The 27,868-nt window shown below is 39.5% G+C and overlaps 1 protein-coding gene across 2 annotated transcripts, besides 2 other annotated features; it reads left to right on the top strand.

The window, feature by feature from the left end:
• On the top strand, positions 39-24,884 carry LRRC58 (leucine rich repeat containing 58). 2 transcript variants are annotated; one of them, NM_001099678.2, is made up of 4 exons: positions 39-649; positions 13,440-13,568; positions 14,254-14,531; positions 17,985-24,884. In NM_001099678.2, the coding sequence occupies exons 1-4, from the start codon at positions 150-152 to the stop codon at positions 18,191-18,193; spliced, it is 1,116 nt and encodes a 371-aa protein (NP_001093148.1). In that variant the 5' UTR covers positions 39-149; the 3' UTR covers positions 18,194-24,884. The 2 variants fall into 2 exon arrangements, with proteins under 2 accessions (NP_001093148.1, XP_047303357.1); XM_047447401.1 differs by lacking the exons at positions 14,254-14,531; positions 17,985-24,884 and adding an exon at positions 1,079-1,170 and having other exon boundaries at positions 13,440-13,523.
• Positions 44-373: a silencer, noted in NCBI's record as "silent region_14635". NCBI's record gives its function as "represses an Ori minimal core promoter by ATAC-STARR-seq in GM12878 lymphoblastoid cells {active_cell/tissue: GM12878}" and the evidence as "EXISTENCE:reporter gene assay evidence [ECO:0000049][PMID:35858748]".
• Positions 724-773: an enhancer, noted in NCBI's record as "active region_20331". NCBI's record gives its function as "activates an Ori minimal core promoter by ATAC-STARR-seq in GM12878 lymphoblastoid cells {active_cell/tissue: GM12878}" and the evidence as "EXISTENCE:reporter gene assay evidence [ECO:0000049][PMID:35858748]".
• Positions 24,885-27,868: the final 2,984 nt, after the last annotated feature.

The raw sequence follows: 27,868 nt of genomic DNA, 5'->3' as shown, positions 1-27,868 counted from the left end.
CTCGGCCAAGGCGCGCAGGGTTTGCGCCCGCCCGCGCCACTTCCGACTCAGCCCTCGGTTCAGGTTCCGGGGCGCCGCAGAGCTCCCGGCCTCTGGACCGCGCGCGGCGCTCTGGGGAATCCGGCGCCACGCGCCGTGCGGTGGCCAGGATGGAGGAGGCCGGAGCAGCGGTGGTCACGGCCGGGGAGGCCGAACTGAACTGGTCCCGCCTCAGCGTGTCCACCGAGACGCTGGAGTCTGAGCTGGAGGCGCGGGGGGAGGAGCGGCGCGGGGCGCGGGAGGCGCTGCTGCGGCTGCTGCTGCCTCACAACCGTCTGGTGTCGCTGCCACGGGCGCTGGGCAGCGGCTTCCCGCACCTCCAGCTGCTGGACGTGAGCGGCAACGCGTTGACCGCGCTCGGGCCGGAGCTGCTCGCTCTGCGCGGCCTGCGCACGCTGCTGGCCAAGAACAACCGGCTCGGCGGGCCCAGTGCGCTGCCCAAGGGCCTGGCCCAGTCGCCGCTCTGCCGCAGCCTCCAGGTGCTCAACCTCAGCGGCAACTGTTTCCAGGAGGTGCCTGCCTCGCTCTTAGAGCTGCGCGCGCTGCAGACCCTGAGCCTGGGCGGCAACCAACTGCAGAGCATCCCGGCTGAGATCGAGAACTTGCAGAGGTGAGCGGGTGTGTGCCGGAGGGTGGGGAGGCCTCGGGCGGTGTCCGGGAACCCTGGGGCGCCGGGCCTGGGCACCTCAACGTTTGTCACGTAACTATTTCCAAGCTTTCTCTTTAACTGTGCGGTAGTGAGTTCTGCCCAACCATCTCAGCAAGTTGTTGTAAATACCTAGTATGTTCGCATGTGTGACTGTTTGGTGTGTTGTGTTTGGCCTATGCAGATTCTCGAGGCATTTTTTCTGTCTTCCTTATTGAATCTGGGGCGTGATCCAAACTGAGTGGAAACTCAAAACAGATGTAAATCAGAGGTTGTCACTTCTTTGCTCAAAAGTCTTCCGTGGATTTCCATCTCTATAGATCAAAGTACGTGCCTTTGAGCGTGGCGTACAAGGTGCTCTGATCTAACCCTTGCTTTCCACTACATTTGCAGCTTCCTCTTCTCTGTGGCAGTACCAACTACCATTTGTGGAGTTCAGTGACCTATGCATTTTCCCACGTAGAGAAAGCAGCTTGGAGTTGCTGGTAGGCACTCAGTATGTGTTGAATGGATGCAGTGCCTCTGTACACGTGCTGTTTCCCTTGCTTGGAATGTTTCCTTCACCTGGCAAACGCCTATCATCCTTCAAAAGCTATCTCAAGTTAATCATCTCTGTGATTCCTTTTTTACTACTCCCTGCACAACAATTTTTTTCGTTACTACTCCCTGCACAAAAAAGTACAGCCTATGCTGTACTTTCTCTGTGCTTCATTCATCTTGCCTTTGCATTTACCTTATTGGATATGATTCCTTGTTTACAGGAATTATCTGCTTCACCTACTAGATTATGCAGTAAATATGTTAAATTTAACTTTAGGAGGAAGCAGAGAAACAGGATAATAAAAGTGCCCGGTGGGGGAGTGGGAAATAGAGCCAAATGTATTGTACAAAACGAAAAAGAGGTATCTTCCATCTGTAAGATATTTTCACACTTTATTGTATTTTCAGAGATAACAGAACGTTAAAGGTAGAAGGGACCTCAGAGTTAAGTGGAGCAAAAGAATATTGGCCTGGGAAGGCCGGGCGCGGTGGCTCACGCCTGTAATCCCAGCACTTTGGGAGGCCAAGGCAGGTGGATCATGAGGTCAGGAGATCGAGACCATCCTGGCTAACAAGGTGAAACCCCGTCTCTACTAAAAATACAAAAAATTAGCCGGGCGCGGTGGCGGGCGCCTGTAGTCCCAGCTACTCGGGAGGCTGAGGCAGGAGAATGGCGTGAACCCGGGAAGCGGAGCTTGCAGTGAGCCGAGATTGCGCCACTGCAGTCCGCAGTCCGGCCTGGGCGACAGAGCGAGACTCTGTCTCAAAAAAAAAAAAAAAAAAAAAAAGAATATTGGCCTGGGAAAAAAGAACTCTTGGTGCTCCAGCCTTAGGCAAGTCACTTGTATCCTAACTGTAGCGTATCCTAACTGTAGCTTTCTAATCTACAAATGAAGCATTTGGGCAAGATGTCTCTTCATTTACTCTTCAATAGATATTTATTGAATACCTGCCCTGTGTCAGGCACTGTCCCAAGTATTGGGGATACAATGGTGAACATGATCCAGGAGACAGACATTAAACAACTAACTATGAACCTCATTATTTAATTACAGTGGTTATGAGTTCTATGAAGACCTACAGAATGCCTTGAGACAAAATGACAGAGGCACATGGGAAAGCCCAGAGGCAAGGAGGGTAACTACTAAAATTCTGAAAGAAGGACATTGTACTGGGAAGTGAGCAAGAGGGAAAGTGGCAAATATAAATTTGGGCAAGTCAGCCCGTGTCAGGTCTTGAAGGCTATGATAAAGTTTGGATTTTATTCTAAGTGCACATGAGAGAGTTTTAAGCATGTGTCTTGTTGCTATGCAAGAATGGAGTGAGGAGAGGGTGAAGAGATAGAGATTTTGAGGGCTGGTTTGAAGGAGGTCATTGTAATAGGATGAGAGATGATGGTAGCCTATACCAGCTTGATACTAGGAGAAATGCTAAGAAATGGAAGATTTCGAGAAAAGATTTAGAGGTAAAATTGACAGCCCTTGGTTCCTTCTAATTTTAATGTTGCATAATTCCAGCCTTGGAATTTTCTTAATATACTAACAGGAACCCAGGGAAAGTATTATTTCCATCACATGGGGAGAAAAGTAGGCAAAAATCCCATTTATTTAATACTTACAATGCAGTAGATCCTGTCATAGGTGCTAACTATGCTTTTTAATACTCACAATGATGCCATAAGATGATGTGCTCCCATTTTTCAGAGGCAGAAACTGAAGCTCAGAGAAATTAAGTCATAAGATTACAAGGCTAGTAAGCATTGGAACTGTATTTGACCTCTGTGGTCTGTGACTCCAAACCCTTGAGTTCTGCACAGTGGCAGAGTACTAGAACCTGAATCTTTGTTGGGGGGTTGGAGGGTCATGGTTTTTTGCTTGTTTTTGTTTTTTGTTTTTTGTTTTCTGTTTTTTTGAGATGGAGTTTCACTCTGTTGCCCAGGCTGGAGTGCAGTGGCATGATCTGGGCTCACTGCAATCTCCGCCTCCTGGGTTCAAGTGATGCTCTTGCCTCAGCCTCCCAAGTATCTGCGACCACAGGAGCGTGCCATCACGCCAGCTAATTTTTGTACTTTTAGTAGAGACAAAGTTTCACCATGTTGGCCAGGCCAGGCTGGTCTCAAACTTCTGACCTCAAGTGATCCACCCACCTCTGCCTCCCAAAGTGTTGGGATTACAGGCGTGAGGCACTGCACCCAGCCTAGAACTTGACTTCTGTACTGTTGGATTTGTGATCAGGAGGATTTGTCAAAGTCATTCACATAGTTGACTGATCTTCTGACTCAGTTTTCTGGGCTAACAACCGTGCTATCTGTGTTTATTGTTCATTGTGTCTTTGACACCAATAATGTATGATATCTTTAACGTCACTGTTTTCATTTTTCACTTGCGTGCCTTATTTCTCGTTACTGCTAAGAATCGGTAAAGGTTTAGGCTATGCTCCACATATAAACTCTGATTGTAGGTTAAAAGGGTTGTGTAGAAATATACTCTGAGCTAGAAAAAGCCTTGGCAGTGACCCGATTCATCCCCTTCTATTTACAGATGAGGAAACTTAGATTTATTATCAGTGATTTACTTGAGGCGAGATAGTGACAAGTGAGAGTTATGTGGTTCAGCCTTCAAACACTGCTAACTATTCACTACTAATATGATGCATTAAAGCTTCAAAAATGTAGAGGTGGAGGTTTAGTCTCTTAAACTACCTGTCCAAGAACACCATCTTCTCTTAGAAAATACCTGGATCCTCTAGACTTCATTGGTTACCCTGATTTATATTGATACTATGTATGCCATGCTGCTTTTTAAACCAGATCTAGTGTTTTGGCACATTAAGAAGATATGTGTCCTCTGTAAGAGCAATTATTAAAATAGTACAGACTATATAATCCATGAAAACTCCCCCACTCCTTCCACTCTTCATCATTTAAGGAAGGAATAACAAATGAATACTTATGGCTTAATTGGTGTCATTGACCTCTCCAGATTTAGCAAGATATCTATGTTTTCTATACCCTATTAATTCTTTCCCCTAGTGGCAAAATCTTTTTTTTTTTAACGTTTTCTGAAGCATCACTTTCAAAGTATAACAAATAAGTAGATGCTGAAAATCTTACTTATTTTTATGATTAACTTCCTTCCCCTCGAGTAAATTAGGTTATCAATGTGAACCATGCGGTTGTGGATGTAGTTACTTTCCATCAAAATGTGGTTATTCTTCAGCAAATAAGTGTAATTGTTTGGCTATAGTATATGGGCAAAATTTTTTTTGTTACATAATGCTGAAAAAGTAGGTATAATTCATATTCTGACTTATTTTTCTGAATCATACCTTTTATTCTTCTCAGTTAGGTTAGATATTAATTGAGGAAGAGCTTAATAGCTTATCACTCAATGGCCAATAGACTTTATTTAAGTAAACAAAAGCTTCTGGATTGTTTGGCAAATCCAGTATGCTAGATATTTGGAGAGTAGGTTTGAGCACAACTGAGTTTCATTGGTACTCTTCTACAATCTTTTCTTCTTAAGTAATGCCTTCCTTTTTCTGTTCATGATGCCTCTCACCATCTGTTTGATGTGGTTTTGAAAGATTGAGATAGGAGGGTGTGACAAAACAAAAGCTAAAAGTTAATGCTCTCAAATGTTTTGAAGTTAGTGTACAGTAGGTTGATATGTTAGAAAGGAGACAGATGACTCAACCAGATGATAGAATGCAGTAAAGTTTAAATGAAAATGCTTTTCCACATTTAGAGTCACATACTGAGCTTGTCACTGGCTCTCAACATCGTCCCTCTGACTTTTTTTATTGCCTTAATTTGGGGCAAGTGTCAAGAGATGATGCATCTATTTGTATGTCTACTTTTGAACATATAGGTACCTTATAATCCTGTGGTGTATGTTAGTATTTGTCATTTAATACAAAGATGCTACTTCAAGAAAACTTTCTTTATCCACAGATGTTCTTATCTTTCTGTTTCTTTTCCTTTCTGTTTTCTACTTCTTTGTACATTCCTATCTTACTTTAATTCCATCTCCTTTTAACCAACCATATAAGATAGGATTAATGTATTTTTGTTGTTGTTGTTGTTTGGGGGTTTTTTTTTGTTTTTGTTTGTTTGTTTATTTGTTTTTTGGAGTCAGAGTCTCGCCCTGTCCACCAAGCTGGAGTGCAGCGGCACGATCTCACCTCACTGCAGCCTCTGCCTCCCAGGTTCAGGTGATTCTCCTGCCTCAGCCTCCCAAGTAGCTGGGATTACAGGCACCTGCCACCACACCAGGCTAATTTTTTTTTAAATTTTATTTTCAGTAGAGACGGGGTTTCACCATGTTGGCCAGGCTGGTCTCGAACTCCTGACCTCAAGTGATCCGCCTGCCTCAGCTTCCGAAAGTGCTGGGATTAGAGACGTGAACCACTGTGCCCAGCTTAACGTATATTTTTATGATGTTCGGTGTCAGTTTTATTTGATTGGAGAAGCAGAAAGCATTTTCTACTTTTACTTGTGCTAGCCTGTTTTTTCAGTGGGTCATTTGTACTTGATAAGAGAAAAGGCATCCACTGCAGTATCCCTAAGGATTGGAAACGTGATTCATTTTTCAAGAGACAATTTTAAGGTCAATATATTAATGCTAAACAGGAAAGGAATAATTTGTTCCATAAATTTAGTGAGTACTTTTCTTGTTTTCTGTATTCCTCAAATACTGAAAGAATAGAATTGTTCCAACCCTAATTAACAGAGTTGCAATGTTGATAACCACAAGAACTTAAACCCTACAGTTTTGCTACAAATTCAACAACAGTTTCCTTTCTTCTTAAAAAAAAGTGTATTCAGAAACAGTAGAGTGTGTTATAGAAATTTAATTCCCACAAATCATCGAAAGATGTCAAGTCCCTAGAAATTTGGAAATTATTTGAGTTAGAAAGTAAAAAATAAGCCTGAAACTGTAAATTTAATATGATGGTTATGTAATTTGATTAGTGTTATTCATCAATTGCAAAAGAGAATTTACATAATTGCAAAATCATGGCCTTAGTTATATTTTAGAACGTCAGATCCTTTTCTGCCACAGTCAAGGTAACTACTAATGTTTTGCATCCTTTCCGTCTACCTTCCCTGTCCACTTCCAAAGCATTGAAAGAAGACATCAAGTAGCAAATGATCACCAGAGACTAGTTTTTCTTGGTTCCTGACTGTCTTAATAAGTTCAGGCTACTATAACAAGACGTAAACTGAGTGACTTATAAACAACACAAATTTATGTGTCACAGTTCTGGAGGCTGGGAATTCCAAGATCAGGGTCCTGGAATTTGATGTCTGGTGAGGGCTTTCTTCCTGGTTCATAGACTGCAGTCTTCTCACTGTGGCCTCACATTGTTACGGGATCTCTGGGATGTTGATTTTTCTGACTGGAAACCTCTGTGGCCATGGCACTTTTGCCCAAGTTCTTGTCCTGCATCCAGGAAGAATGAGGTACACAGACAAGTGAAGGGTGAAGAAGAGTTTTATTTACTGTTAGAACAGCTGAGATGAGTGAGTAGCTCCTCTCTGTAGGCAGGTGGTCCCTTCAAGTGTTCAGCTCTCAGCAGACAGGAGGCCCTGGAGAGGGTGGCCCCTCTCCTCAAGCAAGTCATTCGGATATCTCTGCAGGTCTCTGAAGCTCTTGGAGGTCTCTGAAGCTCTCAGCTGAGAGGGTGGTTCCTCTCTCCCGGCAGGTCATCTCTGTAGCTCTCAGCTTAGAGGATACTCCTCTCTGCAGCTGGTCACCCCATCCCATCTTCTCTCTGTCTTCTTCCTCCTCTGCCCTGTTCTGGCTGAGCCCAGGGCTTTTATGGACCTCAGAGGGGAGGAAGTGCATGCTGATTGGTCCATGGGTGACCATGGGCAGGCGGGGAGAGGCACCAGGAGTCCCCACTCCCATCTGCCCGACTGGCAGCTTGGCCCCCAGCCTTCAGGCCCACCCTGGTCCAAAGGTGGGGCCTTACTGGGGACCCACCCTCTTCTGCCCAGGAATCAGTCTGCCTCCTGATGCCATTTGTGATGCCCCAGGCTCAGCCCCAGCTCCTGCTCCAAGATGGGAGCGGGGGCTGGAGAGAGGCCAGGCAGCGGGAGAAGACACCCTCGAGCCTGCAGGGATTGTTGGGGGGATCCTTCCTGGGGCCCCCAAGGGTGCAGGCTGCAGAGATACCCAGCTCCTGCACCTGGGAGGACGGCTGCAGCTGCTCGCGGGAAGGCAGGTCCTGCCTGCTCCCAGCCCTCCCCCTAGAGCACAGGGAGGCTCAGATCCACAGTTGCAGTTTAGGTGGCTGTAGCCCCACCCAGGAGGGTGGGGCTTCTCCCTGCTCTGTAGAGCAGGAGGCCTGGGTCTGCAGCTGCAGGTTGGGCCACCACAGCTGCACCTGGGGAGCTCTGTTCCCAACACAGAAGGGCAGGGCTCCCCCCAGCTCCATGGAATGTGCAGCCCCAGCTGTGCCTCCCTGTTACATCAACATGATGGAGAGAGGAAGCAAGTTGCCTTGGGAATCCTAGAAGAACACTAATCCCATTAACGAGGGCTCCACCCTCTTGACCTTATCTAATCCTAATTACCACCCAAATACCCCACTTCTTAATACCCTAACGTTAAGGAGTTAGGGTTTCAACATGAATTTTGGGAGGGCACAGGCATTCAATCCATAACACTGACCTAAGCAAATAGAAAGGATAATATTTACACTTGCCCTCAGACTCACTCTTCCTTTTTTTACTTTATTTTTTTTCTCCCTCTCTAGACTATATTGCAAGTTATTATTTAGCTATCAAATCCTTTGTAAAAAGGACTTTGAGGTTTGCTCAGTTTTTTTCCCTGATAGTATTCTCATTGAAATAGTCCCTTTTCCAGGAACCTAGTAGTTTCTGTTATTTGGACTCCAAATATTGTATTCTGTTCTGTTCTGTTCTATTCTATTCAAGTAGCTGTCATCATTGAAAAATAAGGATTTCTGAGTAACTGGGCAGTAACTTATGCCATACTTGGTAGAATTTTAAAAACCCTGCCTAGGAACTGTTTTCACCAATGCTTAAGCACTTGCAGTAGGAGAATTCAATCTTATAACCAGTTGACTTTTGCTGCAAGATAATCTTTGAAAGAGAAAGAAAATAACAGAAAATTAAAGTTATCTGCTTACTTTTTCTAAACATTTTAAGTCTAAAGAGAGAAATGGAATTTTGAAAAGCTTTACACGATCAGAGATACGTTTTTTTAAAAGTGTCATTAATATATACATATATTTGTTTGTTTGAGAGACAGTCTCACTTTGTCACCCAGGCTGGAGTGCAGTGGTGCCACCTCTGCTCACTGCAACCTCTGCCTCCCAGGTTCAAGCAATTCTCCTGCCTTAGCCTCCTGAGTAGCTGGGATTACAGGTGCCTGCCACCTCGCCTGGCTAATTTTTGTTTTTGTTTGTTTGTTTGTTTTTGTTTTTTTAGTAGAGACGGTATTTTACCAGTTAGCCAAGCTGGTCTCGAACTCGTGACCTCAAGTCATCCACCTGCCTCAGCCTCCCAAAGTGCTGGGATTAGGTGTGAGCCCCTGCACCTGACCTAATGTATTTTTTAAAAAGACAAAATGTTAGATTCAAGTTGGCATTTTGAATAACCACACATCAAGGAAGGCTGAGATTATGAAAGACAGAAAAATTATACTTGAGAAAATATCTGTAATAAGGCAATCGGCAAAGAATTTTTAATTTCAGAGAGATAAAGGAAGGAACTTCATCAGTGAAGCAAGAATAGGGAGTTTTAAAACTGACAATTATGAAAACCCCAATTGGAGTTTCTAGAAATGAAAAGATGTAATTATGAACTAACTAACTAGACTAAAAGGTGGACAGAAGTCAGCTGAAGAATGAATCCATAAGCTGAAAGATTTTACTGAGTTATTTTCCTGGAATTCAGCTCAAAGAGATAAAGAAATAAAAAGTATGAAAGAAATATTAAGACATAGAGGATAGATCCTGAAGTTAAAACTGCTAATAGCAGCTGGGCATGGTGGCTCATGCCTGTAATCCCAGCACTTTGGGAGGCCAAAGTGGGCGTATCATGAGGTCAGGAGTTTGAGACCAGCCTGGCCAACATGGTAAAACCTCGTCTTTACTAAAAATACAAAAATTAGCCAGGCGTGGTGGCGGGCGCCTGTAATCCCAACTACTCGGGAGGCTGAGGTAGAATTGCTTGAACCAGAGAGGCAGAGATTGCAGTGAGCCGAGATCGTGCCACTGCACTCCAGCCTAGGTAACAGAGCAAGACTCCATCTCAAAAAATAAAAATTAAAAAAAAATTAAAAAACTGTTAAGAGCAATTCTAGAAAGACAATGAAAGAAAAACAATGTGTGAAGTAATGGTGGCTGAAATTTCCCACAGTTAAAGAAAGGGAGCTCTCTAAACTGATATCTTAACATGTCGTAGTAAAACTTTAGAACATTAAAGATGAATAAGAAAAAATCTTTACTCCTATTGAGGAAAGAAAAAAAAGATTACCTACAAAGGAACAATAGTAATATTGGCTGTAATAAGATAACGGAGCAGCATCTTCGTAGTGCCAAGGAAAAGTAACTGCCAATCTGAAATTTTATGCCCAGCTAAACTATTACTCAAGAGTGAGGGGAAAAAGTTAAAACACCAGAAACAAAGGACTCAAAGATTAACAACCATGAGTTCTTGCTGAAAGAACTTCTGAAGGATGTACTCCAAGAAAAATGAACCTTAAATAACAAGCCTCCAAAAAAAATGATAAAATTGGTAAAACATATTGATAAATCTGAATCAATGTACTGATTGGAAATAAAATAAATTGGTAGAAAATCGGGGTAGAACTAATTCTAGAAGATGATATGAAGAGAAGGACAGAAGAGAGCATGGGTATGTGTTTGAGACTGAGAGAGTACAACGAAAATTGAAGGGGGTAACTCCTGGCAAAATAGAAATAGCATATACAGTTCAAAACAGTAGAAGTAGAGGGAAAAGAACAAAAATAAACTTGAGGAGCACAATAAGAAGCAGAACTAAAGGGAAAAGGTATGTGGAGAGACACCATGATAATAGAAAACACAAGTCCGAACATATCAATCTTCAAATTATGCTTCATTTATAAAAATTTACACTTAAAATAAAAATACACCAATAAGTTATAAGTAAAGGGATAGGAAATGATGTACCAGGCAAATCTGTCATTTCTCATCTGAAGTACTGGATTAGGCTCCAGTCTGCTTTTCCTCCTTCTATTCCTGCCCACAGTGCTCCCCTAACCACTTCTCCAGTTGTTTGCCACTCAATAGCCAAAGTGATCCTTCTAAAGAGTAAGTCAAGTTAAATGACTAACCTTTGTTCAGAACTGTTTTTTCAAAACGCTCTTACAGAGGCCCAAAGGACATTCTGTGATGTGGCCTTTCCAGGCTACCTCTCTGATCTCTTTGATGACCACAGTCCCACCTCAGTCATTCTGATCTACTCATCTAGTCAAACTGGCTGTGTTGCTGTTTCACAACACACCAATCACTTTTCCATTGGGGTTTGTACTCAGTCATTTAGATCTCTGTTCAGATGTCATCTCCTAAGAGAAACTTTTTCTGTCCACCCTCTCTAGAGTGTAACTTCCATCACTATCTGATTGCTCCCCCTTTTTCTTTGTGACATTTAAAACTATCTGGCATAATGGACATGTTATTGATTTATTGTCTGTCTTCTCACTAAAATGTAAACTTATTCAGGTCAAGAACTTGAACTTATTTACATTCTATTCCCTAGAATGGTGCCTGGCACATTGTAGGTGTTAGTTCATATTTGTTAACTGGGCATTTTATATGATAGATAATATTATTCCATTTTTAAAAGGAAGAAACTGCAAGATTAAGTAACTGATCCAAATTTTTATACTGGTAAGTTGTAGAGCTGGGATTGAATGAAATAAATACCAACAAAAATAAAACTGGTAAGCAGTGTTGATAATCAGAGGACATAGATTTCAGGGCAAAAGGTATTTAAAATAAAAAATAGAGGCCAGGCACCGTGGCTCACGCCCGTAATCCCAGCACTTTGGGAGGCTGAGGTGGGCGGATCACCTGAGGTCAGGAATTCGAGACCAGCTTGGCTAACATGGTGAAACCCCATCTCTACTAAAAATACAAAAATTACTCAGGCATGGTGGCAGGGACCTGTAATCCTAGCTCCTCGGGAGGCTGAGGCAGAAGAATTGCTTGACCTAACTCGTGAGGCAGAGGTTGCAGTGAGCCGAGATCATGCCAGTGCACTCCAGCCTGGGCGACAGAGTAAGAGTCTGTCTCAAAAAAAAAAGAACAAATAGAAATGATTCATATGAATTAAGGCTCATTTCAGGAAGTTTTTAGCAGTCATGAGCTTGAATGTATCTGTAGTATAACTTCTGTATATTAATGAGAAAAAAAGTAAAGATTGACAGGACTCTGAAGGGAAGAAGGAAAATCATGTTTATAGTAGGAGACTAACCACCAGAGCAAGAAGGCAAAATAATAAGAGAAAAAAAATTTGCTCAGTTAACGAGCTCAATCATAATAGCTACATGTTCTTTTTGTACATATAATACATGAATGAAAATAGACCATGCTTGAGGCCACAAAGGAACAAAGTTATGCAGAATATATATATATATTTAACAACAGCAGAACTCCCAACAAATTAATGAGATAAAGCTGCATAATTCATGAGAAAAATAGATAAATGATACGAACAGGTAATTCTCTAAAGATATACAAATGTCTAAAACCATAAAAAGATGCTAAACTTCACTAATAGTTAGGGACCTACAGATCTGCAGATTAAAAACACAGAATGGTACCATTTTTTATACCATCAAATAGTAAATAAATAAATAAATGCTGGTGATAATACTAGGTGTTGGCAAAGTTGTAGGTTAAGGAGTGCTCTTATATGCTAATTATGGATTTGTAAATAGCCATGGCTGCACAAGGTAACTTGGCTTTATCTGTTAAAATTACACCTTATATTCTAAAATCTGCCAGTTCACAGGCAATTCAAGGGAGGGAGACAGTATTTAGTGCATCTGGATGGGGTCAGGACTTCATAGCTTTAAAAATATCATAGGGAATTCTTACCATGGAAGTTTGGGTAACCCTTTAGTAGGCTGTTTTCTCCCACATTTAAAGGTGTTTTGAAAAAACAGTAGTTCTACTGAGTTAGCAGATTTAACAGGAAGATAAAAGTAATACAGTATTGGGAGAAAAAATCTGTATGTGTTTGTATACATTTTATTTATTTATTTATAGTATAATATATATAAATATATATTTTTTATATATAAATAAATAAATATATATAGTAAGAACTGATCCTGCTACCCCCTGCAAAAATCTTTTGAAGGAAGCCTTTCAACAGTAATCATCAAAGAGTACTCTCTTTTTTTTTATTTTAGTGCAATATATGCCATGTCTAAAATGTTAACCTATTGTTGGAAAACAGTATAATTACCTGGAACTTTGATTTTATAGTAGTGGACAATTTACACAGCCTCTGAAGAATGTATTTGCTATAATAAGAGCGAAGAAGAAATGTAGAGACTTCATAGTTTTACAGTCTATTCAAAAACAAGCTAGTGGTTTTCCCATTGCCTGTCAGTGCATCAATCAAATCCAAGCATACTAGCATAGAATTCAGGGTTCTTGTAATCTGGTCTCTCTACAACCTTAATCTTTGATTCCTCAAGATGAATTTTCTTCTATTAACAGGTATATTCATTGTGCCTTCACAAGCCCTCTCCTCCAACCTGAAGTGTACTCTTTCTTCTTGTCTAAATGGGCTAAGTCCATAGCCCAGCTGAAGTCACAGCCCTTTGGGGAAGCCTGTTCCATTCAGAACTACTGTGGCCTTTTTAAAACTTTTATCTTCCTTTTCATTCAACTCCTAATACCATTTATGGTTTGTCTCTCTTATTTTGGTATTGTAATGCCTATTTTTGGCCTTGTTTTGTGTTTCATTATAATGTTATCTAACATTGGTCTGTCTCGTCTGCTTAGCTATAGTATAAGCTCCCTGAAAATTGCATTGTTTCTCTAGAGACTGGATAGCACATAGCAAATCTTAAGTAAAACATTTGCTGAATGAATAGATGAAACGTGTTTTTTGTAGTAGACACAATGGGGTATCTTTTTCAACTTTATTTACTTTTTTGGTTTTGTTCATTTATTTTTGCAGTTTAGAGTGTTTATATCTTGGAGGAAATTTCATTAAAGAAATCCCACCAGAATTAGGAAATCTGCCTTCTCTGAATTATTTGGTATTATGTGACAACAAAATCCAAAGCATACCTCCTCAACTTTCACAGTGAGTAGTTCCAGGCATTTGTATATACGCAGACATCTATGCTTAGTAATTATTGTCTTGTATTCACTCACATGTTTTTATATGTAGAAAAGAATTAGATATTCTCAAAGTAAGTGATATGTTAATTATAGTTCTGAGGTTTGCTGCAAGCTGAGTTTTTTTAATTTCACTTTTAAATGCTCTGGTTTATTCTTCAAAATATTTGTTCAGTCTATTTTCTGTAATCAAAGAATTGAGTATTAGCATACATTTCCCTAGGTTTTATGAGACTTTTAGTGATTTTATATTTGATATGAAACATTTCTATCCTAATTAGGCTTTATAATATGAAGGATCTTAATTTCTGTTGCATTTGAAATCTTTCCTTTTTTTAGATATCTGAATGAGAAAGCATGCCCACTGCCCACCCCCAAATCTTCAAATCTAGGTTTTACAGCAGTTAGCACATCAGAACATTCTCTAAGTATTCTAAATTCGCCAAGATTGCAAGGGCAAAAGTCCTTCATGACATTTACAAATCTGCACTTTGATCTAGTTTCAGCACCTTTTTATTTTACTTCAATTGACCTTAATCTTAATTGCTCATTCTTAAGGGGAAATCAAGTTCTGTATACACACATATATTCAATATTTTTGATAGTTACGTTGTTTACTGCCATTGATTTTTCTACTACATTTATTCTAGGTTACATTCACTTCGTTCCCTAAGTCTTCACAATAACTTGCTGACATATCTGCCTCGAGAGATCCTCAACCTTATTCATTTGGAAGAGTTGAGTTTACGAGGAAATCCATTGGTTGTTCGTTTTGTTAGAGATTTAACCTATGATCCTCCAACTCTCCTGGAATTAGCTGCACGGACCATTAAGATTCGAAATATTTCCTACACTCCCTATGATCTTCCTGGAAATCTTCTTAGATACTTGGGTTCAGCCAGCAATTGCCCAAACCCAAAGTGTGGAGGTAAGTTAATTCAGTATTCATGTTTCCCACTTATTTAGCTATTTTTTAAATTAATTAAGTCTTCTTTCAGACAAAAGCAGTCTCTGTTTCTGTTCCCTTTATTTTTTCACTCATTTATGAGAAAGACATTTCACTCTGGGTTTTTTAAAAAATTCTTTTTCATAATATTTTAGGATTCATACATAAGGAACATACCCAGGAAGTCTCATCCTGTCTTGACATACGATAATAAATCAAGATGGTAAAATGAGAGGAAACACAAGGAAGTATAAACAGTTCTAATTGTTTAAAAACTGTTTCTAAAATGTTTGGACACCTTTTATTATTTATTTATTTATTTATTTATTTATTTTTGAGACAGAGTCTTGCTCTGTTGCCCAGGCTGGAGTGCAGTGGCGCGATCTCGGCTCATTGCAAACTCTGCCTCCCAGGTTCACGCCATTCTCCTGCCTCAGCCTCCCGAGTAGCTGGGACTACAGGCGCCCACCACAACACCCGGCTAATTTTTTTTGTATTTTTTTAGTAGAGACGGGGTTTCACCTTGTTAGCCAGGATGGTCTTGATCTCCTGACCTTGTGATCCGCCCACCTCGGCCTCCCAAAGTGCTGGGATTACAGGCGTGAGCCACCACGCCCGGCCCACCTTTTATATTTATTTGAATGATGTTTTCTTAGACTCACCATTCCCTGTATCAGATTTAATCAAGATGTATGAGAATGGGCTGAATGTGTGCCAGTTACAGAATGTACCCAAAACTTTATATTCTTTTAAGTCCATGGTTCAAAATGTCTTGAGTTTAGAGCATTTGAAGAGAATTATGCAAATGATATAAGGCAGAGTCAGGTAAGTATCCCAAGGAATTCAAAATGCTTCTGGAAATCAAAGGAGGGGGAGAGTATATTTAATTAGATCTGGAAACAATGAGCTAATTCTTGAGGTATGAATTAGATTTTGATAGGATAAAATTGAGGATAGGAAATTTTTCAGATGGCGAGTACAAAGTGGAGACAGAAGAGTATGGGGCAGACTGTTGGATGAGTAGTAATTTGCTCCAAATGTAAGGTTAGGGGAGTAATGAGAGTGAAAAGCTACATTGAGTCCTGGTTGTGAAGAGCCTGAAGGGCCAGGGTGTGTGGGTGAGAATTAGTGACTGATAGTAGGTCATTTTTCACTTTGGCTCCCTCATAAAAGACTACTTTTAAAAAATCCAGTAGGTACTGAGGAAATGCTGCATAATGATGATCAAAACCAGGTGAGACTTTCTCTGGCAGTCCGATCTTGTCTTGAAGCTATTACAAGGTTAAAAGGGAGAAAATTATCAAATTCTTCAAAGATTGTTAAAAGATAAAAAAGACACTTTGAGTTTAAAAAAGATAATGCTCTGGATCATTTCTGGCCACCCACTCTTAGAAGTAGAGATTGCAGCACTGTGCTTTTCTCTGATTCTCCATTCCTAAATTAGCTTTCACAGTGACAGAGGAAAACACATAGGGCAGCATTCACACCAGGCCCTCAGGCCTGAAAGTCTAAATCTCCTTTGAATTCATGCTTTTCTGGAAATGGACCTCTACAGGAATTCTCTTTTCTCTCTTAAATATTTCCTTAATGACTTCTTTAGTATACTGATGTGCCATTTATCTTAGGAACAAAAATGCTTTAAAAATTACCAGCTTAAGGCCGAGTGTGGTGGCTCATGCCTGTCTGTAATTCTATCACTTTGGGAGGCTGAGGCAGAAGGATCTCTTTTTTTTTTTCTTTTTTTTTTTTTTTGAGACGGAGTCTCGCTGTATTGCCCAGGCTGGAGTGCAGTGGCACAATCTCGGCTCACTGCAAGCTCCGCCTCCGGGGTTCACGCCATTCGAGGCAAGAGGATCTCTTAAGCCCAGGAGTTTGAGACCAGCCTAGGCAACATAGCGAGACCCCATCTCTACAAAAAATATAAACATTAGTTGGGCATAGTGGCATGTGCTTGTCGTCCCAGCTACTCAGGAGGCTGAGGTAAGAGGATGGCTTGGGTCCAGGAGTTCAAGGGTCCCATGAGTTGTGATCATGTCACTGCACTCCAGCCTGGGTGACACAGTGAAACCCTGTCTCTTAAAAAAAAAAAGTATCAGTTTAAAATTTGAGATAATCTATGAAATGAACCATTAGACATTTTCCCCCTCAAATTCGTTAGTTATTAAACTGTAACTTAAACAAAAGTACTTTTATATTCTCAGAGATACTTTTCTTTGTATAATCTGAAATCTTATAAATCACAAGATAGTGTTATACTGCTTTAGTTCGTAGTAACTCCCATAATGCTTTATTTTATTTCTTTCATCTGTTTTCAAGAAGCTAACACATTTTAGGGGATTTATTATCGGTCTATGACTGACCAACTTATTGAATGTATTTACTTTCCTCAATCATTCAGAGTAATGTACCACAAATTTCGCCTTTTTTATACTTACTACAAGATCAAAAAAAAACTACATGGTTAGTTGAGATATCAGGAAAAAAATAGAAGTAGAATTCATTGTTTTTCCTTTGCTTGGACCACATCTTTTAATTTTGGTCCCTTATGTGATAAACACACAGTATTTGGTGCCAGAAGAAACTTAGGCAGAGTATAGAGCTTGAGATTCCTCTCCAGAGAGGTGATTGGACCAAAATTCTAGATGTTCTGGTTATACTGCAACCATTGTGACAGTCTTTGTCTTAGAGATTTGCAGTATCATTTTAAGGACCAGCTAGAATCCAGAGGCACAGCAACATCTGCTTTCCTCTCAGCTCTAGCTCTGTTTTTACTTAACTGAAGGGCCACAGTCGAGGAGCACTAACCTAGGAATCAAAAGGGCCAGATATTACTTTCAGTTTACCTGACGATGTGTAATTGTATGAGAATCAAGTGAGATCATCAGTGAAACAGATTTGAGGCCTGTAGATTTACAGTCTTTGGAAATGTAAAATGGCATTTATTTCTTTAAATTTTGCCTTCCCAGTACATAAGAACAGGAGTGCCAAAAGTCATCCCCTTTCTGAAAATTTTTCGTATACTAATTCTTTAAGATAATTATTAAAGGAGTTTTTATGTTGTTTTGTTTTAGTCTGTGACTGTAGGGTAGTACCAAGGGGGTGGCTTGGGTAATAGAGAAAGGGCACCTCAGGTGTCCTAAAATCTCCATCAGCCATTGCCCCAAGTCTCCCAGAGAAAAGAAGCTAGGTACACAGTGTCCTTTCTGTGCCTGCTCCCTTTAAGATAAATGTCCTGGTTACCTCTTTGCACCCAGATTCTACCTTTAAGACCTTCCAGTAGGCTTATAGACAGCTATACAAGCAAGTACTACTTCTGCTTAAGATTCATAACAGAAGATGGTGTATGACATTTCTCCAGAACACTGGAGAAAGGGCTGAAAAAGAAATTGATTCCTTGCTTTGTAATGATTACTTTCTATTCCTTCTTCTCTTTAGGAGTCTACTTTGACTGCTGTGTCAGACAAATTAAATTTGTGGACTTCTGTGGGAAGTATCGCCTCCCACTGATGCACTACTTGTGTTCACCAGAATGTTCTTCCCCTTGCAGTTCTGCCTCTCACAGCTCCACTTCCCAGAGTGAATCTGACTCAGAAGATGAAGCTAGTGTTGCTGCACGCAGAATGCAGAAAGTTCTTCTTGGTTGAACAGGAGTGCACAGTGTTGTGAAATACTTAAAAAACTGAGCAAAATGGTTAGACAAGAAAATAGAGCTTGAAGTTCACTAGAAATCTTATCTTCATCTTAAGTGTTCATCAAAGAGTCTGGGATGATATAAAACATTTTGTGTTTCATCTACCCATTCAGCAAGAATGAGTCCAGTCCCATGTTTAGATTATTTTAACATAATTTGTGAATGATAGTTTCACATTTGGCTGATGGTTTGCAGTTTTCACTCAAGTTTTGCATGAATCACAAAGCAGAATGGTACCTTTTGAAGAGCAGTTCTGCAATAAGTCATGAGTAGTATAACTTTTGGACATTGAGATGGAGAAAGTGAGAAATTATCAAAGCTATAATTGCCAGAGTTGCCCTTGGGTTTAGGTAGAACACTGTATACCATATATACTATATACCATATATACTATATATACCATATATATTATATGCCATAAACAGGATTAACCCTCCCTTTTCTAATTGCCTGTATGTCTAGATTACAGAACTATTCAAAGAAGCTCACAGATGGTTACATGGGACAAACCTTTCTGACAAACTAACTGGTAAAGTAAGGCATATAACATTTACATGAGATATTAAAACTTTTTCATTATTATCCTTTGTTCTATATGATTGCTATTAACCTTATGTAATCTAGCAATGACTGTTATAGTGCCTTAATCCAGCAAGGATATAAAAATGTATTCAAGAAGTAATGCCAGAGCAACCTATAACCTGACATACCATGCAGAACATTGTAAAATATTCTTTAACAGAACTAGGTAAATAACTGTGTATCTAATATCCGATCTCATGGCCCTCTTAACATTTTTTTGTTTAAATGTGCACTCATCCCTTATAAGCACATTACTTTTACACTTAATGGTAGGCCACAATCTTCATCAATCTGTTCATCATAAGACAGAGTAAGAATTTTTAACAGAAAATTCTAAAAGAGATAGAAGCTAGGAAAGCTTCTTTATATCTTGCATTAAATGGGTAGGGAAAAAATATGACTCTCACCCATGTCATGTACTGGACCATCTTTCTCTACTTTTTAAAGAAAAACTAATACAACTAGAAAAACATCACAACAAGCCAAATAAAAATGGAGAAAAGGAGTCATTGTCCTTATACCTAATGGAACAGTTTCCAGAACTACTTTAACTATGGAAGCATTTTTGAAAATAAAGTATTAATAAAATAGAAAAAAATTATTAAATATATTGTATCCTTAATGTATAGCAGGAAAATAGTTTCACAAATTAATTGCTATTAGAAATTACCAAATTTTTATTAAGTACTTTAATATGCAATACAAATTGAATAATAGTACAACTATAAGTTGATATAAAGTAAGTGCTTACTGGTAATCATTAAATAACTAATAACATGACTTGTTGGTTAATGTTAAACCTACAGTAAGAAATGTTATACAGATCAGATAGGCATTAGAACATCAGGTGTACCTTTTCTGATTTCTGGCATTCATGGCACACCATTTCTTAAAAGCAGATTGTTGTATAATAACATATACATGTATTAGGGTTTTTTTCATATATATTTTTTATTTTAGAAGAAACTAGCATAATTCAGGGTTTATGTGTTTATTTGTATATTAATTCATGAAACATGAGAGTTTCATGAACTGCAGATGTGAAACGCTGCTATAGAATGAATCCCTTCACCTTTACCTTGTTATAATGTAGTAAGATTTTGTTTTCCTTTTGACTCAGAAATTTTCTATGTCTATAGAGGTAATCTAATATGTTCCTACTGCCTAGAAGAGTAATACATAGGTGATTATATCATAAAATAGAGGTATAAAGTCTTTGCTTACTTCTCCATGTGGGCCACAGCAAGCTGCAGACTGTACAGTTATGAAAGGTAAAGATGACTTAGGCTGTGCCTAAGTGACAAATGTAAAATGTTTTGTAAATAAGTGACTTACCTAAGATACATAAGATATTTTCATAGAAAATAATGTATTCATAGTAAAATACTCAAATTGATAGGACCAATTTTTTCTGGCCTAAATGCTTATGCCTACTTCCTAATCAATTACCAGCTTGACTTAAGTAACTGCTTGAGTAGTCTTCTAAGAGTTAGTCTTCGTAAAATAAATGGATAGGTATGTAAATATATAATCTTACATACCCTTTCCAGCTTCCTAGAAAGGTCTACTGCTTCATCTTTTACAGATGTAAATAGGTCCAACCAGAGACAGTTTCTGGCCTTTGCATATAAGAATATAGATGTATACCACAGTATTATTTCAACAAAATGTTATGGTTCTATGTATAGTTGAAAACTCTATGATCAGCATACAACTGTCTTTTGGTAATTTTTAATGAAGTCTACATTTAGCCGTCGGTTTTATCTTTCTTAAATCTTTGACCTAAACTTTTGTAAGAGCAGCTAATAATTTCTAAGATTTTCCCTGTTTCTTTTTCCTACCTTTCCTTTTCTCATAACTGATTGGAGAAATTAATCAGAAGTCAAATACAAGGGACTTCATAATCTAGAAACCAGATAATCAGCTCCCAAGTCATGTAGCTAACTATGCATTTAAAATAAGTCTGTCTCTTTAGTTCTTAAGTCATATATTTGTTTGTTAATTACAGTAAATGAACTTTAATTGGGGTTTTTAAAAGACAGAATTAGCGAAGTCTAATTTTTATAATGAAATAAGTTTTTGATATTGCTCTACTTGGACGATTTTAGTGACCAAAACTATGGATAAAACTGCCTAAGCATAACATTAATATATTTAGAATGGCATTCTTCAGTGCTAGTATTTGAAATTGGAATTAGTACATTGTGCATTCTTAGTAGTCTTTATCCCTAGAATCAATTCTCTCAGCATCACCAAACTGAATTGGTGAAATAGTGCTAAGATTCTGGGCAATAGGAAGATTAGTGAATATGATACATTGATTCCAGGGTGCCAGGGATTGGCTGACATTAAGGACCAGCTGGCTATGGTCCTCAGGCTACGGTCCTCAGTATTCTAGTATTTGAGTAGTGGAGGTAAATCCAAAGGCGACTGGTTATATTTTACTTCTAAATGTGTGCTGAAGTGTCTCTTGTTCAAAAATTCTTGATATTTAGAGCTTCAAGTTACCACATTTAAAAGTAAAGACTTGGCACGGTGGCACACACCTATAATCTTAGCACTTTGGGAGGCCGAAGTGGATGGATCATATGCAGTCAGGAATTTGAGACCAGCCTGGCCAACATGGTGAAACCTCATCTTTACTAAAAATACAAAAATTAGCCGGGCGTTGTGACGCACACCCATAGTCCCAGCTAACTCCGGAGGCTAAGACAAGAGAATCACTTGAACTTGGGAGACAGAGGTTGCAGTAATCTGAGATCACTCCGCTGCACTCCAGCCTGAGTGAGAGTGAGACTGTGTCTCAAACAAACAAACAAAAAACAAACAAAAAAATTTGCATTGTAAATTGTACCTCAAATTTGAGCAGTTTTTGTGTTTGTGTAAATTAAAGTAAAAAGCAGTCCACAATAATGTTTTGTAATACTGCACACCAGTTCTACCAGATTTTGTAACTATCAGATTTAAATGAAAAAAGAGAAGGAAGAGGCTGATTGCTGGAGTGTTAAAGAAATCTTGGCCGGGCGTGGTGGCTCACGCTTGTAATCCCAGCACTTTGGGAGGCCGAGGCGGGTGGATCACGAGGTCAGGAGATCGAGACCATCCTGGCTAACACGGTGAAACCCCGTCTCTACTAAAAATACAAAAAAAAATTAGCCGGGCGTGATGGCGGGCGCCTGTAGTCCCAGCTACTCGGGAGGCTGAGGCAAGAGAATGGCGTGAACCCGGGAGGCGGAGCTTGCAGTGAGCCGAGATTGCGCCACTGCACTCCCGCCTGGGCCACAGAGCGAGACTCCGTCTCAAAAAAAAAAAAAAAAAAAAAAGAAATCTTTAGAAGCCACAGGGCTAGAAGAGAAGTCACCAAACACCTAGGGACAGTCCTAGGCCTAGAAAGCCCTTTAAAGTAATAGTGAATTGTTTTAAAATTAAGTTATTGAGTGGCCTACTGACTACCATCCAAAAACCTTTATCACCAAATTTGTTCAGTGTTTGCTATTGGGAGATTGTCCATATCCCTCCGTAATTAAGGGCCAGCAAGTAATACGATCTTCTTACAGCCAACCTTGCTCTTCCCAAAGGGAGAAAGTAATACATCATTAACCTGGAATTTGTGATATAACAGGTAGCCTTGGTTAATGTTTACCTTTTCACTATGTAAAAAAGAAAAAACACACAGCAAATAGTGCAAATAAAATTTGGTCTTTTAAAGCATTTTAGCAGTAGCTATGTAAAAAAAGTTAATGGTTATTATTCCTAAATTTTCATAAGACCCTTGGTAGACAAAACTATCGGTTATATTATGTATATATGAGGTTAGTTAAGCTGCATTTAGTTAGGAACATTTAATTTTTACCTAAATGATCCTTTTTTCATCCAGAGGTAGAGATTTTATTGTCATTATGAATGTTACTCCCCATTTAGTCCAAAATAGTGAGCTTTTAAGTTGTGCCAGGTACTTAACAATAGTAAAAGCTATTGTATAGATTTTTATTCAATGTGACCTATAATACATTTCTGATTCCTTCTGTATTGAATGTCCCAGTTTCCATATTAAGTGCTATGCCCTGTATAACATTAATGAATTTAATAGTGTACAATTTTGGGCCAGGCATGGTGGCTCACGCCAGTAATCCTGGCACTTTGGGAGGCAGAGGCAGGCAGATCACCTGAGGTCAGGGGTTCGAGATCAGCCTGGCCAACATGGCAAAATCACATCTCTACTAAAAATACAAAAATTAGCCAGGCGTGGTGGTGCATGCCTGTAGTCCCAGCTACTCAGGAGGCTGAGGCAGGAGAATCGCTTGAACCCAGGAGGCGGAGGTTGCAGTGAGCCGAGATCATGCCATTGCACTCCAGCCTGGGAGACAGAGCAAGACTCTATCTCAAAAATAAAAATAAAAAAAAAATTGCGTGCAATTTTGTATTTTCATAGTCGTATCTTTTTAAAGGTATCATGATTTCAGTTGTGGTCAGGAAGTATGTGCCTTAAATCCTCTACTCTAGACCCAAAGTTTGGAGAGCTATATTATTTAATAAGTTGTTTGTGACAGCCTTGTTACCTTTTTCATTTGATTTGAGGGAGAAAGACTGTGATCCTGACAGATTCCTTCTCATAAAATGGCCTAATGTGTATCAGTCTAGGACTTCTGGGGAGGGAACCTCTACCATGCATTCTGTCCCAGGATGTCAAAGTCATAAGAATCAGGGTCCCCTGAAATAAAATCACTGAAAAGATATGTTCTGTTATATATTATTTAAAAAATTTATCTGGTGCCACCAAAGAATGACAGCAGTTTCTAACCAACTTCATATTTATAGCATCTTATGAAGATATTGTAAGGCTTAGCATATTTTGCCACTGGTTTTCTTTGTAATATAGGTTGAAAGTGAGACATGTTTGAATACTTTTGTATGTAAATATCTCCCATTCTTTTTCTATCTCTTCTTGGTCTATATTTACTAAGAATTGATATTTAAAAAACAGTTCACTAATGAACTCTACATATTATTGAACACTCACAGGGCAATATTGATTTGGGTGCTACTAGACTTTTACCTAACATTAGTCTTTCTCAATAGTTGTTGTAAAGGATAGTATTCAATCCAGTAAATATTAAAGTGTATTAGTTTAATGAAGGTTATTTATATACTGTCATACCACAAACCTATGGTGGAAAGAACATCTGCATTCACCAGAATGTACTTGTTCCTTTGGCTGTGAATAAATTGGATAAGACTTTTTTATTGTAAGTTCCAGCTGTTGGAAGATACGGGGATAAGATTGACATTGCTGTTGCAGTATTGCAAAAACATGACTAAATTGGTTAATTATGTCTACCGCTTATGTTTAAGAGAATCCTTTCACTAACTTAAATTGTTAACATTGTTGTGATATTGAGAAAGAATATTAACCTAAACAGTCACTTTACAACAATCATGTAAAGACGTGTGCCTGCAGTTGAGGTTTTTTGCATTTCTGAGCCTGCTTTGTATTCATGAGAAACAAAAACATAATGGGAGAAAAGTTTTAGATAAGCAGCATTGTAAGTTTTTGTAAAGTTTGGGATGTCAAAGTATTAACGAAGGGTACTGAAAACATACTTTTACTTGGGTCAAATTACTTTTTATGATCTGATTTCTTAATTTTCTGTATTTGAAATCTTGCAAATTAGGAATATCTACATCTATAGATAAATAAGTAAAACTTAATGGTAGAAATAAGTGTAATTCAGCAACATGATTCAACAATTTTTATATTTAGGATAAGTTATTGTTTATTATATTAATATCAAATTTATATATTGCCTTGTAATGCTAAATGCTCTTAAAAGAATATATGGGCTACTTCAATTCTACCACCTTCTTCCCCCTCCCCCAGGACGTACAAAAGATCTTATATTAACCAATCCTCTGTGAATTTTGCCATATCAAACATTGTGCCTTATTTTAATAAAACTGTTTTGTTGGAATCCAGTTCTATATTAAAGTCTCTATAATGTTGATATTTGCCTGATTACTTGTTACATCATTGAATACATACATTAAATATGTACTAACATTGACTCTGTTCTAGATGCAATGGATAAAAGATAAATTGGACTTGTCTTCTAGTCTTCCTTCTGCTTCCACAGTCTCAATAGACTTACGGGTGCATGCTCTAATAAGAAATTGGTGACATCATCTTGCTGACTAAGGCCAGTTACTTCTTGTATTTAGTACAGAATCACACAGTCTTAACCCACAGTAATATAGTTCTAACTGAGCTCATTGACATAGCACTTCATACCAATATTTTATAGTGCCATTATTTTGGCACCTGACATTTTTCTAGATTCCAGGATATGGAAAAATATTGTGGTTTTAAGTTGGGGTAAACAGAGTGGATAGGAAGGACATGTACTTTGCAAAACAGCTAATGTTTCAAATGTGCTAAGATGGAAGAAACTCAGCACTTCCCTGGTTAATATATAGGATGGTGATATGGTTTGGCTGTGTTGCCACCCAAATCTCATCTTGAATTGTAGCACCCATAATCCCCACGTGTCATGGGAGGGACCCAGTGGGAGGTAATTGAATCATGGGGCGGGTTTTCCCATGCTATTCTTGTGATAGTGAGTAAGTCTCAGGAGATTTACTCACTAGGGCAGTTCTCCTGCACAAGCCTGCTGCCACTTAAGATGTGCCTTTCCTCCTTTGCCCTCCACCGTGATTGTGAGGCCTCCCCAGCCATGTGGAATTGTAAGTCCATTAAGCCTTTTTCTTTATAAATTACCCAGTCTCGGATATTTCTTCATAGCAGTATGAAAATGGGCTAATACAGATGACTGCTTGGCAAAGACAGGCCCAAAAAATTTGAGGGAGAAGAGAAAACACATAGAGTGTATGTGTTTGATACCCTCTATGTGTTTGTCTGATCTCTTTCCTTTTTTTTGAGATGGAGTTTCACTCTTGTTGCCCAGGCTGGAGTGCAATGGTGCAATCTTGGCTCACTGCAACCTCTGCCTCCCAGGTTCAAGTGATTCTCCTGCCTCAGCCTCCTGAGTAGCTGGGATTACAGGCGTGCACCACCATGCCCAGCTAATGTTGTATTTTTAGTAGAGACGGGGTTTCTTTATGTTGGTCAGGCTGGTCTCGAGCTCCCGACCTCAGGTGATCCGCCCACCTCGGCCTCCCAAAGTGCTAGGATTACAGGTGTGAGCCACCGCACCTGGCCTCTCTTTCGTTTTTTTGTTTTTTGTTTTTTTTTTTTTTGAAATGGAGTCTCACTCTGTCACCAGGCTGAGTACAGTGGCGCAATCTCGGCTCACTGCAACCTCCGCCTCCCAGGTTCAAGCGATTCTCCTGCCTCAGCTTCCCAAGTAGCTGGGACTGCAGGCGCGTGCCACTGTGCCCAGCTAATTTTTGTATTTTTAATAGAAACGGGGTTTCATCACGTTGGCCAGGATGGTCTCGATTCCTGACCTCGTGATCTGCCCACCTCTGCCTCCCAAAGTGCTGGGATTACAGGCGTGAGCCACTGTACCCGGCCTCCTTTCTTAAAGGTAAAACCGTTCTCTAATCCACCTAGTCTCCATAGCATTAGTGCCACAAGAACATTTTACTCTTAAATGACTTGTCTAATTCTTTGCAGATACCAAATATAAAGCCAGAACATTTCTGGGGATATGTATGACGGGCATGTTCCATCCATCACACCAGTCACTTCCAGCTTCATGAACAATCTGTCAGAATCCCGTAGAATATTAGAGCTAGAAGAAACTTTAGAAATCTGAAATTGACACACTTGTTTGAAAAATGAAAAAAATTCAAATCGAAAGAAACTTTTTCTAGAATCCATATGGCTGAATCTTGAATCCAGGCTTTCAGATTACCGCTTCAAGACTTGTTTCTGGCCAGGCGTGGTGGCTCACGCCTATAATCCCACCACTTTGGGAGGCCAAGGTGAGTAGATCACGAGGTCAGGATTTCGAGACCAGCCTGGCCAACATGGTGAAACCCTTGCTCTACTAAAACTATAAAAAAATTAGCCGGGCATGGTGGCAGGTGCCCATAATCCCAGCTACTCAGAAGGCTGAGGCAGGAGAATTGCTTTAACCCAGGGGGCAGAGGTTGCAGTGAGCTTGTATCAAGCCACTGCACTCCAGCCTGGGTGACAGAGCAAGACTCCATCTCAAAAAAAAAAAAAAAAAGACTTGATTCTGCTATAGGATGCTGCTTCCTTTGTTTAATATGCTGTAACAGGAAATCAGTAACAGTATTAGTACTCCACAATAACAGGCCTACTAGTATTGAAGTGATGCGATCTGCACTATATCTCAATGTATTCAGAATTTTAGATCTGGTGATGACTTTAAGAGTAAACAGCTGGGTACCTCTTTAAAGCACATTCAAGAGGCTATCTTATTTAATCGTCATGACACTGCTGAGGTAGATTTGGTGACGTACGTTCATGTGGTTTATCAAAGCCTTCCCCCTTCCTTCTGCCGTTTGAAATCAACTAAGAAATTGACATTGACCTGAGATAGGGAACAAAATACCAGCTCTATCAAATCAGAATTGAGCTGCTTATATTCTTTCCCTTAATTAAATTGAATGTAACCAACCAAAATCACAGGCTTCCCCTGCGAGGACTGAGTCTACCCCTGGATAGTATTCTATACTACTGCCCAGAACATACCACTTTGGGCAGACAGATCCAAAGGAGCACAGGTAAATTCTTAAACCCCTTAGTGCTGCCCAGTAGAGAAACTAGACCAATTATCTTCAGTCTTCGGCCATCTAAGCAGATGAATTAAGTCTTTATCCCACAGGGAGGAAAAAGATGTTGGAAAGTGTTTCCTCTGGGCAGCTATTTTCAAACCTTGCTGAACAGTAGAATCACCAGAAAAGCTTTCAAAATATACAGATACAAAGACACCATCCCCAGACCAATTGAAACTTGATCTCTAAAGATAGAGTCTTGGCATCCGTAGTTGTAGAAGCTCTTGTAGGTGACTTGGTTTCCCAGTGAGGGTGATAATCAGTGTTTTAGTGAAAGTCCCTTTAT

The sequence above is a fragment of the Homo sapiens genome, chromosome 3 (assembly GCF_000001405.40).
Source record: "Homo sapiens chromosome 3, GRCh38.p14 Primary Assembly".
Lineage (NCBI taxonomy): Eukaryota > Metazoa > Chordata > Mammalia > Primates > Hominidae > Homo > Homo sapiens.
This window is presented reverse-complemented; position numbering and strand designations above follow the sequence as displayed.